Raw genomic sequence first — 14,755 nt, 5'->3', positions numbered from 1 at the left:
TCCTATCTGTACAAAGCATCTCTGAAAGAAAGGCAGCAGCCCCAGTCAGGGGTTTAAACTCCCATCTCCCTGGGACAGAGCACCTGGGGGAAAGGGCAGCTGTGGGCAAAGCTTCAGCAAACTTAAAAGTTCCTGCCTGCCAGCTCTGAAGAGAGCAGCAGATCTCCCAGCAAAGCGCTTGAGCCCTGCTAAGGGACAGACTGCCTCCTCAAATGGGTCCCTTACCCCCGTGCCTCCTGATTGGGAGATACCTCCCAGCAGGGGTCAACAGACACCTTGTACAGGAGAGCTCTGTCTGGCATGTGGAGGGTGCCCCTCTGGGACGAAGCTTCCAGAGGAAGGAAGAGGGAGCAATCTTTGCTGTTCTGAAGCCTCCACTGGTGATACCCAGGCAAACAGGGTCTGGAATGGACCTCCAGCAAACTCCAGCAGACCTGCAGCAGAGGACCCTGACTGTTAGAAGGAAAACTAACAAACAGAAATGAATAGCATCAACATCAACAAAAAAGATGTTCACATAGAAACCCCATCCGAAGGTCACCAACATCAAAGACCAAAGGTAGATAAATTCATGAAGATGAGGAAAAACCAGAGCAAAAAGACTGAAAATTCCAAAAACCAGAACACCTCTTCTCTGAAGGATCACAACTCCTCACCAGCAAGGGAATAAAACTGGATGGAAAATAAGTGTGATGAATTGACAGAAGTAGGCTTCAGAAGGTGGGTGATAAAAAACTCCTCTGAGCTAAAGGAACATGTTCTAACCCAATGCAAGGAAGCTAAGAACCTTGAAAAAAGGTTAGAGGAATTGCTAACTAGAATAACTAGTTTAGAGAAGAACATAAATGACCTGATGGAGGTGAAAAATACAGCATGAGAACTTTGTGAAGCATAACAAGTATCCATAGCTGAATCAATCACACGGAAGAAAGGACATCAGAGATTGAAGACAACTTAATGAAATAAAGCACAAGACAAGATTAAAGAAATATGGGACTATTAAAAAGACCAAAGCTACGTTTGATTGATGTACCTGAAAGTGATGGGGAGAACTGAACCAAGTTGAAAAACACTCTTCAGGATATTATCCAGGAGAACTTCCCCAACCTAGCAAGGCAGGCCAACATTCAAATTCAGGAAACACAGAGAACACCATAAAGATACTCCTCGAGAAGAGCGACCCCAAGACACATAATTATCAGATTCTCCAAGGTTGAACTGAGGGAAAAAATGTTAAGGGCAGACAGAAAGAAAGGTTGGGTTACCCACAAAGGAAAGCCCATCAGACTAATAGCAGATCTCTCTGCAGAAACCCTACAAGCCAGAAGAAGAGTGGGGACCAACATTCAACATTCTTAAAGTAAAGAATTTTCAACTCAGAATTTCATATCCAGCCAAACTAAGCTTCATAAGCAAAGGAGAAATAAAATCCTTTACAGACAAGCAAATGCTGAGAGATTTTGTCACCACCAGGCCTGCCTTACAAGAGCTCCTGAAGGAAGCACTAAATCTGGAAAGCAACAACTGGTACCAGCCACTGCAAAAACATACCAAATTGTAAAGACCATTGATACTATGAAGAAACTGCATCAACTAATGGGCAAAATAACCAGCCAGCATCATAATGACAGGATCAAATTCACACATAACAATACTAACCTTAAATGTAAACAGGCTAAATGCCCCAATTAAAAGACACAGACTGGCAAATTAGATAAAGAGTCAAGACCCATTGGTGTGCTGTATTCAGGAGATCCATCTCACATGCAAAGACACGCATAGGCTCAAAATAAAGGGATGCAGGAATATTTATCAAGGAAATGGAAAGCAAAAAAAAGCAGGAGTTGCAATCCTAGTCTCTGATAAAACAGACTTTAAACCAACAAAGATCAAGAGAGACAAAGAAGGCCATTACATAATGGTAAAGGGATCAATTCAACAAGAAGAGCTAACTATCTTAAATATATATGCACCCAATACAGGAGCACCCAGATTCATAAAGCAAGTTCTTAGCGACCTACAAAGAGACTTAGACTCCTACACAATAATAGTGGGAGACTTTAACACCCCACTGTCAATATTAGACAGATCAAGACAGAAAATTAACAAGGATATTCAGGACTTGAACTCAGCTCTGGACCAAGCAGACCTAATAGACATCTACAGAACTCTCTACCCCAAATCAACAGAATATACATTCTTCTCAGCACCACATCTCACTTATTCTAAAATTGACCACATATTTGGAAATAAAATACTCCTCAGCAAATGCAAAAGAATGGAAATCATAACAAATAGTCTTTCAGACTACAGCGCAATCAAATTAGAACTCAGGATTAAGAAACTCACTCAAAACTGCACAACTACATGGAAACCGAACAACCTACTCCTGAATGACTACTGGGTAAATAACGAAATTAAGGCAGAAATAAATAAGTTCTTTGAAACCCATGAGAACAAAGAAACAACGTACCAGAATCTCTGCGATGCAGCTAAAGCAGTGTTTAGAGGGAAATTCATAGCATTAAATGCCTACAGGAGAAAGTGGGAAAGATCTAAAATCGACACCCTAAAATCACAATTAAAAGAACTAGAGAAGCAAGAGCAAATAAATTCAAAAGCTAGCAGAAGACAAGAAATAACTAAGATCAGAGCAGAACTGAAGGAGACAGAGAAACAAAAAACCATGAAAAAAAAAATCAATAAATCCAGGAGCTGGTTTTTTTTAAAAGATTAACAAAATAGACCACTAGCCAGACTAAGAAAGAAGAAAAGAAAGAAGAATCAGATAGACAGAATAAAAAATGATAAAGGGGATATCACCACTGATCCCACAGAAATACAAACTACCATCAGAGAATACTATAAACACCTCTATGCAAATAAACTATAAAATCTAGAAGAAATTGATAAATTCCTGGACACATACACCCTCCCAAGACTACACCAGGAATAAGTCGAATTCCTGAATAGACCAATAATAAGTTCTGAAATTGAGGCAGTAATTAATAGACTACCAACCAAAAAAAGCCCAGGACCAGACAGAGTCACAGCTGAACTCTACCAGAGGTACAAAGAGGAGCTGGTACCATTCCTTCCGAAACTATTCCAAACAACAGAAAAAGAGGGAATCCCCCCTAACTCATTTTATGAGGCCAGCATCATCCTGACACCAAAACCTGGCAGAGACACAACAAAAAAAGAAAATTTCAGGCCAATATCCCTGATGAACATCGATGCGAAAATCCTCAATAAAATACTAGTAAACCGAATCCAGCAGCACATCAAAAAGCTTATCCACTACAATCAAATCGGCTTCATCCCTGGGATGCAAGCCTGGTTCAACATACTTAAATCAATAAACGTAATCCATCACATAAACAGAACCAACGACAAAAACCACATGATTATCTCAATATATGCAGAAAAGGCCTTCGATAAAATTCAACACCCCTTTATGCTAAAAACTCTCAATAAACTAGGTATTGATGGAATGTGTCTCAAAATAATAAGAGCTGTTTATGACAAATCCACAACTAATATTATACTGAATGGGCAAAAGCTGGAAGCATTCCCTTTGAAAACTGGCACAACACAAGGATGCCCTCTCTTACCACTCCTATTCAACATAGTATTGGAAGTTCTGGCCAGGGCAATCAGGCAAGAGAAGGAAATAAAGGGTATTCAAATAGGAAGAGAGGAAGTCAAATTGTCTCTGTTTGCACATGACATGATTGTATATTTAGAAAACCCAGCATCTCAGCTCCAAATCTCCTTAAGCTGATAAGCAACTTCAGCAGAGTCTCAGGATACAAAATCAATGTGCAAAAATCACAAGCATTCCTATACACCAATAACAGAGAGCCAAATCATGAGTGAATTCCCATTCACAACTGCTAAAGAGAATAAAATACCTAGGAATACATCTTACAAGAAATGTGAAGTTCTCCCCTTCAAGGAGAACTACAAACCACTGCTCAAGGAAATAAGAGAGGACACAAACAAATGGAAAAACATTCCATTCTCATGGATAGGAAGAATCACTATCGTGAAAATGGCCATACTGCCCGAAGTAATTTACACATTCAATGCTATCCCCATCAAACTACCACTGACTTTCTTCACAGAATTAGAAAAAACTACTTTAAATTTCATATGGAACCAAAAAAGAACTCATATAGCCAAGACAATCCTAAGCAAAAGAACAAAGCTGGAGGCATCGTGCTACCTGACTTCAAACTGTACTGCAAGGCTACAGTAACCAAAACAGCATGGTACTGGTACTGAAACAGATATATAGACTAATAGAACAGAACAGAGACCTCAGAAATAACGCCACACACCTACAACCATCTGATCTTTGATAAACCTGACAAAAACAAGCAATGGGGAAAGGATTCCCTATTTAATAAATGGGTGTTGGGAAAACTGGCTAGCCATATGCAGAAAACTGAAACTGGACTGCTTCCTTACACCTTATACAAAAAATGACTCAAGATGGATTAAAAACTTAAATGTAAGACCTAAAACCTTAAAAGCCCTAGAAGAAAACCTAAGCAATACCATTCAGGACATAGGCATGGGCAAAGACTTTATGACTAAAATACCAAAAGCAATGGCAACAAAAGCCAAAATTGACAAATAAGATCTAATTAAACTAAAGAGCTTCTGCACAGCAAAAGAAACTATCATCAGAGTGAACAGGCAACCTACAGAATGGGAGAAAATTTCTGCAATCTCTCCATCTGACACAGGGCTAATATCCAGAATCTACAAAGAACTTAAACAAATTTACAAGAAAAAAACAAACAACCCCATCAAAAAGTGGGCAAAGGATATGAACAGACACTTCTCTAAAGAAGACATTTATGCAGGCAACAAACATATGAAAAAAAGCTCATCATCACTGGTCATTAGAGAAATGGAAATCAAAACCACAGTGAGATACCATCTCACACCAGTTAGAATAGCATTCATTAAAAAGTCAGGAAACAACAGATGCTGGAGAGGATGTGGAGAAATAGGAATGCTTTTACACTGTTGGTGGGAGTGTAAATTAGTTCAACCATTGTGGAAGACAGTATGGCTATTTCTCAAAAATCTAGGACCAGAAATACTGTTTGACCCAGCAATCCCATTATCGGGCATATACCCAAAGGATTATAAATCATTCCACTATAAAGACACATGCACACATATGTTGACTGCAGCACTATTCACAATAGCAAAGACTTGGAACCAACCCAAATGTCCATCAATGATAGACTGGATAAAGAAAATGTGACACATATACACCATGGAATACTATGCAGCCATAAAAAAAGAATGAGTTCATGTCCTTTGCAGGGACATGGATGAAGCTAGAAACAATCGTCTTCAGCAAACTAACACAGGAACGGAAAACCAAACACCGCATGTTCTCACTCATATATGGGAGTTGTACAATGAGAACACATGGACACAGGGAGGGGAACATCACATACCGGGGCCTGTTAGGGGGTTGGGGGCTAGGGGAGGGATAGCATTAGAAGAAATACCTAATGTAGATGACGGGTTGATGGATGCAGCAAACCACCATGGCACGTGTATACCTATGGAACAAACCTGCATGTTCTGCACATGTATCCCAGAACTTAAAGTATAACAAAAAATAAATAAATAAATAGCAGGAAATTCTGTCATTTGCAACAGCATGGATGAACCTAGAGAACATTATGTTAAGTCAAATGAGCTAGGCACAGAAAGACAAATACAGTATGATCTCAGCTTATGTGTGGAATTTAGAAAAGTCAAATTCATGGAAGTAGAGAATAGAATGGTAGAAGTAGGGAAAAGGTGGACAAAAAGAAAAAGAAAAAAAAAAAAACACTCCCACCAGTGCCATGACAGTAAATTTACAGATGCTGGCAACTCCTGGAAATTACTCTATATTGTCTAAAAATGGGAAGAACTCTTGGTTCCAGGAACTACCAGCTTCTTTCCTGGAAAACTCATGAATAATGCATCCCTTGCTTAGCATGTGATCAAAGATAACCATAAAAATAGTCAACCAGCAGCCCATGGGGCTGCTCTGCCTATGGAGTAGCCAGCCTTTTATTTATTCCTTCACTTTCTTTCTTTTTTTTTTTTTTTTTTTGAGATGAAGTCTCACTCTGTTGCCCAGGCTGGAATGCAGTGGCGTGATCTCGGCTCACTGCAAGCTTCGCCTCCCGGGTTCAAGCAATTCTCCTGCCTCGGCCTCCCAAGTAGCTGGGATTACAGGCGCCTGCCACCACGCCCGGCTAATTTTTTGTATTTTTTAATAGAGATGGGGTTTAACCATGTTGGCCAGGATGGTCTCGATCTCCTCACCTAGTGATCTGCCCGCCTCGGCCTCCCAAAGTGCTGGGATTACAGGTGTGAGTCACCGTGCTGGCCTATTCCTTAACTTTCTTAATAAACATGATTTCACTTTACTGTCAGCTTGTTCTTGAATTCTTTCCTGGAGGAAGCCGAGAACCCATGTGGCCTCTCTGGCCGAATCCCAATTTTGGGGTTCACCCAGTAATAAACCAAAGAGTTGTTTTGTTTTTTAGACTTTAGACAAACTGGATAAAGAATATCAGGAGGAAATGATTTTTCCATTGCTAAAGATAAACAATATCCTCAAGTTCAGTGATATTAAAAAAAGGGCAATAAGAAATTTACATCAGACAGAAAAGTACAGAGATTAAGAGCAGGGGTTTAAATCGTCACTCCCCCACCTACTAGCCATGTGAACTTGGAGAAAGTATTTAAACTTTATGGGCTTCTGCTTCCTCTTCTGTACGATGAGGGTAATAGTTCCCACTCGTGATGACTAAGCAAGTTTATACATGTGGAGCACTTAGAACAGCATCTAAAATGTAAGTACTCAGTAAATAATAGCTGACTCAAGTTTATAATTAAGAAGGCTAAGGAAGTAGCAAGATATATGAAAATGATATTCATATATACTATGTTTTTAATTTAGAAAAGGGGGAGGGGAATTTGTTAGTGTATTTTCTCAGTTATATAGTCTGGGAGAGTATTTAATAAACTATTATCTAGAGGCAGTAAATACTGTGCAACTACATTTTAAAATTTAGGCCAATCTACATTTCAATGTCACATAATTTTTAAAATACTGCCAATTTAAGAAGCTCCCAATTTGGGAGGCTGAGGCGGGTGGATCACAACGTCAGGAGATCGAGACCATCCTGGCTAACATGGTGAAACCCCATCTCTACTAAAAATACAAAAAATTAGCCAGGCATGGTGGCGGGCGCCTGTAGTCCCAGCTACTTGGGAGGCTGAGGCAGGAGAATGGCGTGAACTCGGGAAGCGGAGCTTGTAGTGAACCGAGATCCCACCACTGCACTCCAGCCTGGGTGACAAAGCGAGACTCTGTCTCAAAAAAAAAAAAAAAAAAAAAAAAAAAAGCAGCTCCCAATTTGAGATGCTTCAATGTGAAAAAAAAATGCACATTTTAGATTGAATGAAATAGATTAAGAGATGGAAAACAGTAACAGCAATATTCCAAGCATCAGATGTTTTATAGTCTCATCTTTTTCTTTTTTTTTTTTTGAGACAGAGTCTCATTCTGTCGCCCACACTGGAGTGTAGTGGCATGATTTCGGCTCACTGCAAGCTCAGCCTCCCGGGTTCACGCCATTCTCCTGCCTCAGCCTCCCGAGTAGCTGGGACTACAGGTGCCCGCCACCACACCCGGCTAATATTTTGTATTTTTTTTTAGTAGAGACAGGGTTTCACCGCGTTGGCCAGGATGGTCTCGATCTCCTGACCTCATGATCCGCCTGCCTCAGCCTCCCAAAGTGCTGGGATTATAGACGTGAGCCACTGCGCCCGGCCTATAGTCTCATCTTTTTCTATACAAGCTGTGAACTAAAATCCAGTTTCTAAACATGCATAGCTGCTTTTGTTTTGCTTTTGTTGTTGTTGGTTTTTTGTTTTTTGCTTTTAAAGCAAAGCCCACTAGAGACAGCACCACATATGTGACTGGTAAGGCAACAGCAGAAGAAAGGAGTCCTTTTATCAGGAGTCTTGACCTAAAAAGCCAAGTCCTAATAATGAAAAAACAATGAGCAAAGAAAGAGGAAGAAAATGGCTGTGAAAGAAGAGAGGACAGTGGAAATGGGATATGATAGAGAAAGCTACAAGATAAAAGAAATACAGAAATTCCTGACAATGTAACAAAGCATTCTGGGGGCTTTCAGTGGAGGAGCAGCCAGATCCTACAGACCAGCATGCTCTTGAAATAAGGCCCTACGACAACATCAGAAAGGATGCCAAGAAAATTGGAACTGTTAAACTAAAAGGGACATAAAGAAAGTCCAGTCCATGAATACTCAAAGAGAACAAAAAGTATACTATTCTCTAATACACCCCAGCACAAAATTGCTACACATTGCTGATGCGAGTATATGAATGGTGTAGACACACAAGGAAAGCTGAGTACCACTGATGTTATTTAGTTTGCAAGCTGGGATTACAGGTCAGAAAGAGTTACATCTGGCATTCCATCTCCTCTATAGCAAAGCCACTAAGTCATCTAGCCTCTCCTTGAATATCCCTCATTATTAAGAAACTCATGATCACTGCAGAACCCTAATTCCACTTTCTGACAGTGTTGGTAGAAAATTCTTATGTTTGGTTGGGCATGGTGGCTAATGCTGGTAAATCCCAGTACTTTGAGAGGCCAAGGCAGAAGGATCACTTGAGCCCAGGAGTTCGAGGTTGCAGTGAGCTATGATCATGCCACCATACTCCAGTCCAGGTGAAAGAGTGGAGACCCTGTCTCTTTAAAAAAATAAAAAGTAAAAAATAATTATTACATTGAACCAAAATGTACCAACTAGTTTGGGGTTCTTCTGTTTATTCAATATCTATTGAGCCCCTGAATGGACTTTGAGAGGCCCTTGAGGAGCAATGGATGACTACAGAATTAGGGGCTATAGGGCAGACACAGAGCAAAAACAAGAAGTTTGGTGAAGAAATTGAGGTGACTGACAACAGTGAAAGCAGGAGGAATTTTTTCTAGTCAGGGAAAGCTAGAAGAGGGCTGACCTCAGGTCCCAACCAGGAGATATGTGGGTCATAAAAGATGAACAACCGTCACTTGAGTGTCACCAGGGAATCAGTAATGTGGGAGAAAGCCAGGCTTCATGCAGAAAACTGTGTGGGTCTGTGTTGAAATTCAGGTTTTAGGGAATTTTCTAAACATAAAACTGGGGTTGCTCAAGACAGCACAGAAGGAAAGACTGAGGAAAGTGGTCAGCAATAAAAGGCAGTTTTGGAAGGGGCTAGGGAGGCAAGGGCTAAGCCAGAGGGATTGAAAGGGAACGGAAAGACATGCCCGGAAGAGCTTGCACCTAGGGCAGTAACTTGTAGTAGGTGCTAGATCCTTGTAAACAAACATGATCCAATGAGACAAGCATTAGATTAGAGATACACAAAAGCTGCCACAAGGAACTGTTAGGGCATGAAAACAATACCCCAAAATACGGCACTTTGGCATGCTGAACTAAGGCAGCAGCCACAGGGGCAGAGCAAGATGATGGAATAGAAGAAGCCTACACTGTTTGTCACCCCCCTCACCCCCAGGAGGAACATCAAATTTTAACAACTAACTACATACAAAAGGCAGCCATCTCAAATAACCAAAAATCAGGTGAGCATTCACAGTAGCTGGTTTTAATTTCATATCACTGAAAGAGACATTGAAGAGAATAGGAAAGACAGTCTTGAAGTGCCAATGCCAGCCCTCCCCCTTCTCCCAGCAGTGGCCACACGTGCAGATTTTGTGCTTTTGGGAGATGGACAGCACAGCAGTTGGGAGGCTTTGCTTTGAACTCAGTGCTGCCCTGTCAGTGATAAGCAGAACCAGGCTGCACTCAGATGACATCTAACCACGGAAGGAGCATTTGGACTGGCCTTAGCCAGAGGGAAATCACCCACCATAGCAGTCAGAGCTTGAGTTCCCACAAGCCTCACAACCACAGGCCAGAGTGCTCTGGGGCCCTAAGTGGTCTTGAGGGGCAGGTTAGGCCACAAGGACTGCAATTCCTAGGCAAGCCCTAGTGCTAAGCTGGGCCCAGAGCCAGTGGACTAGAGTAGGAGGCACACAACCTACTAAGACACCAGCCAGGGTGACTAAGGGAGTGCTTCTGCCATGCCTCCCCCATCCCCAGCAGTGGCTGCGTGGTGGGGAGAAATCTGTGCATTTAGTAGAGGGAGAATGCAGTGACTGGGGCACTTTAACTTAACTCAGTGCTGCCCTGTCACAGAGGAAACCTGGCAGGATTTACCCCCTGCTGACTAAAGAGCGCCAAGGCCCTGAATTATCAACAGCACTATCCAGGTAGTATACCATAGGCACTGGGCTCTGAGACATGCTGGCTTCAGGTGTGACCCAGCACATTCCCAGCTGTGAGGGCTACAGTGAAAGACTCCTGTTTGAGAAAAGCAGGGGGAAAATAAAGGAGACTCTCTGTCTTGCACCTCAGGTATTAGCTCAGCTACAGAGGGTAGAGCAACAAGCAGACTTCTGAGGTCACTGAGTCCAGGCCTAGGCTCTTGGTCAGCATTTCTGGACCTGCCCTGAGCCAAAAGGTGAGTCCCAGAGCTGGCAGCATTGGTCACAAGCTGACGGAAGAGCCCTTAGGCTTTAAGTATCAGTGATGGCCTGGCAGAACCCCCCCATAAGCCAGTGGTGATGGCAGCCACAGGGAGAGGATCTTCTGCCCGTGGAAAGGGGAGGGAAGAGTGGGAAGCAACTTGTCTTGTGGGTCACGTGCCACCTTAACCACAGTAGAACAAAACACCAGGTAAATATCTAAGGTTTTGACTTCAATCCCTGGTGTTCTCAGACAGCATCTATGAACCAATCTGGGGCCTAGGGGAACTCACCACCCTGGAGGGAAGGGCACAAACCTGGCTGGCTTTGCCACCTGCTGACTGCAGAGTCCTAGGGCCTGGAGTAAACTTAGGTGGTAGCCAGGTAGTGGTTACACCGGGCCTTGGGCAAGATCGAGTGCTATCCTGGCTTCGGGTCTGAACCGGTACAGTCCCAGTTGTGGTGGCCACGGTGTGCTGGTGACACCCCACCCCCCAAGGTCCAGGTGGTTTAGCACAGAGAGAGACTCCATTTGTTTGGGAGAAAATAAAGGAAGAGAACAAGAGTCTCTGCTTGGTAATCCAGAGAATTCTTCCAGATCTTATCTAAGATCATCAAGGTGGTACCTCTATAAGTCGGCAAGAACCACAGAGTTATTCAGTTTGGGCCCACATCCCCTCAAATACCTGAAAAGCCTTTCCAAGAAGGATGGGCACAAACCCAGACAGTGAAGACTACAATAAATACCTAACTCTTCAATGCCCAGACATAGACAAATATCTACAAGGATGAAGACCATCCAGGAAAACATGACCTCGCCCAAAGAACTAAGGCACCAGGGCCAGGCGCGGTGGCTCACGCCTGTAATCCCAGCACTTTGGGAGGCAGAGGCGGGCGGATCACGAGGTCAGGAGATCAAGACCATCCTGGCTAACACAGCGAAACCCCGTCTCTACTAAAAATACAAAAAATTAGCCGGGCGTGGTGGCGGGCGCCTGTAGTCCCAGCTACTCGGGAGGCTGAGGCAGGAGAATGGCGTGAACCCAGGAGGTGGAGCTTGCAATGAGCCGAGATTGTGCCACTGCACTCCAGCCTGGGCGACAGAGCGAGACTCTGTCTCAAAAAAAAAAAAAAAAAAAGAACTAAGACACCAGGGACCATTCCTGGAAAAAAACAGAGATATGTGACCTTTCAGACAAAGAATTCAAAAGAGCTGTGGTAAGGAAACTCAAAGAAATTGAAGATAACACAGAGAAGGAATTGATAATTCTATCAGATAAATGTAACAAAGAGACTGAAATAACTAAAAAGAATTATGCAGAAACTAAAAATGGAATTGGCATACTGAAGAATGCATCAGAGTCTCTTATTAGCAGAACAGATCAAGCAGAAGAAAGAATTAGTAAGCCTGGCGTTGGAGACCAGCCTGGTCAACATGAGGAAATCCTATCTCTACTAAAAATACAAAAATTAGCCAGACATGGTGACATGTACCTGTAATCCCAGATACTCAGGAGGCTGAGGCATGAGAATCACTTTAACCTGGGAGGCAGAGGTTGCAGTGAGCCAAGATCGCACCATTGTACTCCAGCCTGGGTGACAGAGTGAGACTCTGTCTCAGAAAATAAATAAATAAATAACATATAATGGAGCTCCAATACATCTAGCACTTTTCAGTGGAAACCTTACAGGCCAGGAGACCTTACAGGCATGACATATTTAAAATGCGGAAGAAAAAAAAAATTTACCCTAGAATAGTGTATCCAGCAAAAATATCCTTTAAGCTTGAAGGAGAAATAAAGACTTTCCCAGACAAACAAAAGCTGAGAGATTTTGTCAACACCAGACCTGTCCTACAAAAAATGCTAAATGGTACTTCAATCAGAAAGAAAAGGACGTTAGGCCAGGCGCGGTGGCTCATGCCCGTAATTCCAACACTTTGGGAGGACGAGGTGGGTGGATCACGAGGTCAGGCGTTTGAGACCAGCCTGACCAACATGATGAAACCTCATCTCTACTAAAAATACAAAAATTAGCAGACGTGGTGGCATGCGCCTGTAGTCCCAGCTACTCAGGAGGCTGACGCAGGAGAATTGCTTGAACCCAGGAGGCGGAGGTTGCAGTGAGCCGAGATTGTGCCATTGCACTCCAACCTGGGTGACAGAGCAAGACTCCATCTCAAAAAAAAAAAAAGAAAAAGAAAAAGAAAAGGACGTTAATGAGCAATAAGAAATCATCTGAAGGTACAAAACTCACTGGTAATGGCACACAGAAAAACAGGAATATAACATGGCAATTTTTGGTGTGTGAAATACTCTTAAGTAGAAAGACTAAACCATGAACCCATCAGAAATAATAACTACAACTTTTCAAGATATAGACAGTGCAATAAGACATAAAAAGAAACAAAAGTTAAAAGGGGAGGAGAAAGTTAAAGTATATAGTTTTATTCATTTTCTTTTTTGCTTGTTTATTTCTGCAATCAGTGTTGTCATCCATTTAAAATAATGGGTTACGAGATAGTATTTGCAAACCGAATACTAATTGTTGTGTTTTATGTGTGTCCATTGTGTGCATGTCCAACGTACAATGGACACCCAAAAAATAAAAAGAAATTAAAGCGTAACATTGGAGAAAATCATCTTCACTAAAAGGAAGACAGGAAAGAAGGAAAGAAAGAAGAGAAGACCAAAAAACAACCAGAAGACAAATAAAATGGTAGGAGTAGTGCTTACCTACCAATAATAACACTGATTGTAAATCAACTAAACTCTCTAATCAAAAGACATACAGTTGGCCAGGTACAGTCGCTCACACCTGTAATCCCAGCACTTTGGGAAGCCAAGGTGAGCAGATTGCTTGAGCACGGGAGTTCAAGACCAGCCTGGGCAACACAGGGAAACCCTGTCTTTACAAAAAATACAAAAATTAGCTGGGCATGGTGGCATACACCTGTAGTCCCAGCTACTTTACTTGGAAGGCTGAAGAAAAGGATCACTTGAGCCCAGGAGGCAGAAGTTGCAGTGAGCTGAGATTGAACCACTGCACTTCGGCCTGGGTGACACACAACACAAAGACATGGAGAGGCTGAATGGATAAAAATGCAAGGCCCAATGAGCTGTTGCCTAAAAGAAACACACTTCATTTATAAAGATACAAATAGACTGAAAATAAATGAATGGAAAAAGATATTTCATGCCAATGAAAACAAAAAAAGAGCAGGAGTAGCTATACTTATATCAGATGAAATAGGTTTCAAGAGAAAAACTGTAAGAAAACACATATAACGTCACTATATAATGATAAAGGGGTCCATTCAGCAAGAGGATGTAACACCCAGATATAAAGGAAATATTATTAAGAGCTAAAGAAAGAGGCTGGGCGCGGTGGCTCACGCCTGGTGGCTCCGCATTTGGGAGGCCAATGCGGGCAGATCACGAGGTCAGGAGATCAAGACAATCCTGGCTAATACGGTGAAACCCGTCTCTACTAAAAATACAATAAATTAGCCAGGCGTGGTGGCAGGTGCCTGTAGTCCCAGCTACTCAGGAGGCTGAGGCAGGAGAATGGCGTGAACCCAGGAGACGGAGCTTGCAGTGAGCCGAGACTGTGCCACAGCACTCCAGCCTGGGTGACACAGGGAGACTCTGTCTCAAAAAAAAAAAAAAAAAAAAAAAAAAGAGAGACAGATCCCAATACAGTAATAGCTGGAGACATCTAAATCCTACTTTCAGCATTGGACAGATCTTCTAGACAGAAAATAAACAAGGAAATATCAGACTTAATCTGCAGAATAGAACAAATGAACCTAATAAGTATTTATGAAACATTTCATCCAATGGCTACAGAACATCCTCCTGAGCATATGGATCATCCTCAAGGACAGATGACATGTTAGGTCACAAAACAAGTCTTAAAACATTCAAAAAAAACTGAAATAATAGCAAGCATCTTCTCTGACCACAATGAAATAAAGCTACAAATAAATAACAAGAGGAATTTTGGAACATATACAAACGCATGGAAGTTAAATAATATGCTCCTGAATGAACAGTGGGTCAATGAAAACATTATGAAGGAAATTGAAAAATTTATTGAAACAATAATAATGGAAACACAACT

At 42.0% G+C, this 14,755-nt stretch overlaps 1 protein-coding gene across 3 annotated transcripts in view, besides 1 other annotated feature; it reads right to left on the bottom strand.

Annotated features, from left to right (window-relative positions):
• FGD4 (FYVE, RhoGEF and PH domain containing 4) overlaps positions 1-14,755 on the bottom strand; it is a 246,493-nt gene that overhangs the window by 216,323 nt on the left and 15,415 nt on the right. The gene's annotated exons all lie outside the window — the stretch shown is intronic.
• Positions 9,523-10,509: an enhancer, noted in NCBI's record as "H3K27ac-H3K4me1 hESC enhancer chr12:32572153-32573139 (GRCh37/hg19 assembly coordinates)". NCBI's record gives its function as "activates a minimal SCP1, AML or CMV promoter by ChIP-STARR-seq in naive H9 embryonic stem cells {active_cell/tissue: H9 hESC(naive)}" and the evidence as "EXISTENCE:reporter gene assay evidence [ECO:0000049][PMID:30033119]".

Source organism: Homo sapiens, chromosome 12 (genome assembly GCF_000001405.40).
Source record: "Homo sapiens chromosome 12, GRCh38.p14 Primary Assembly".
NCBI classification, from domain to species: domain Eukaryota; kingdom Metazoa; phylum Chordata; class Mammalia; order Primates; family Hominidae; genus Homo; species Homo sapiens.
Note: the sequence above shows the minus strand (reverse complement) of the source record. Positions and strands in the feature narration are given on the sequence as shown.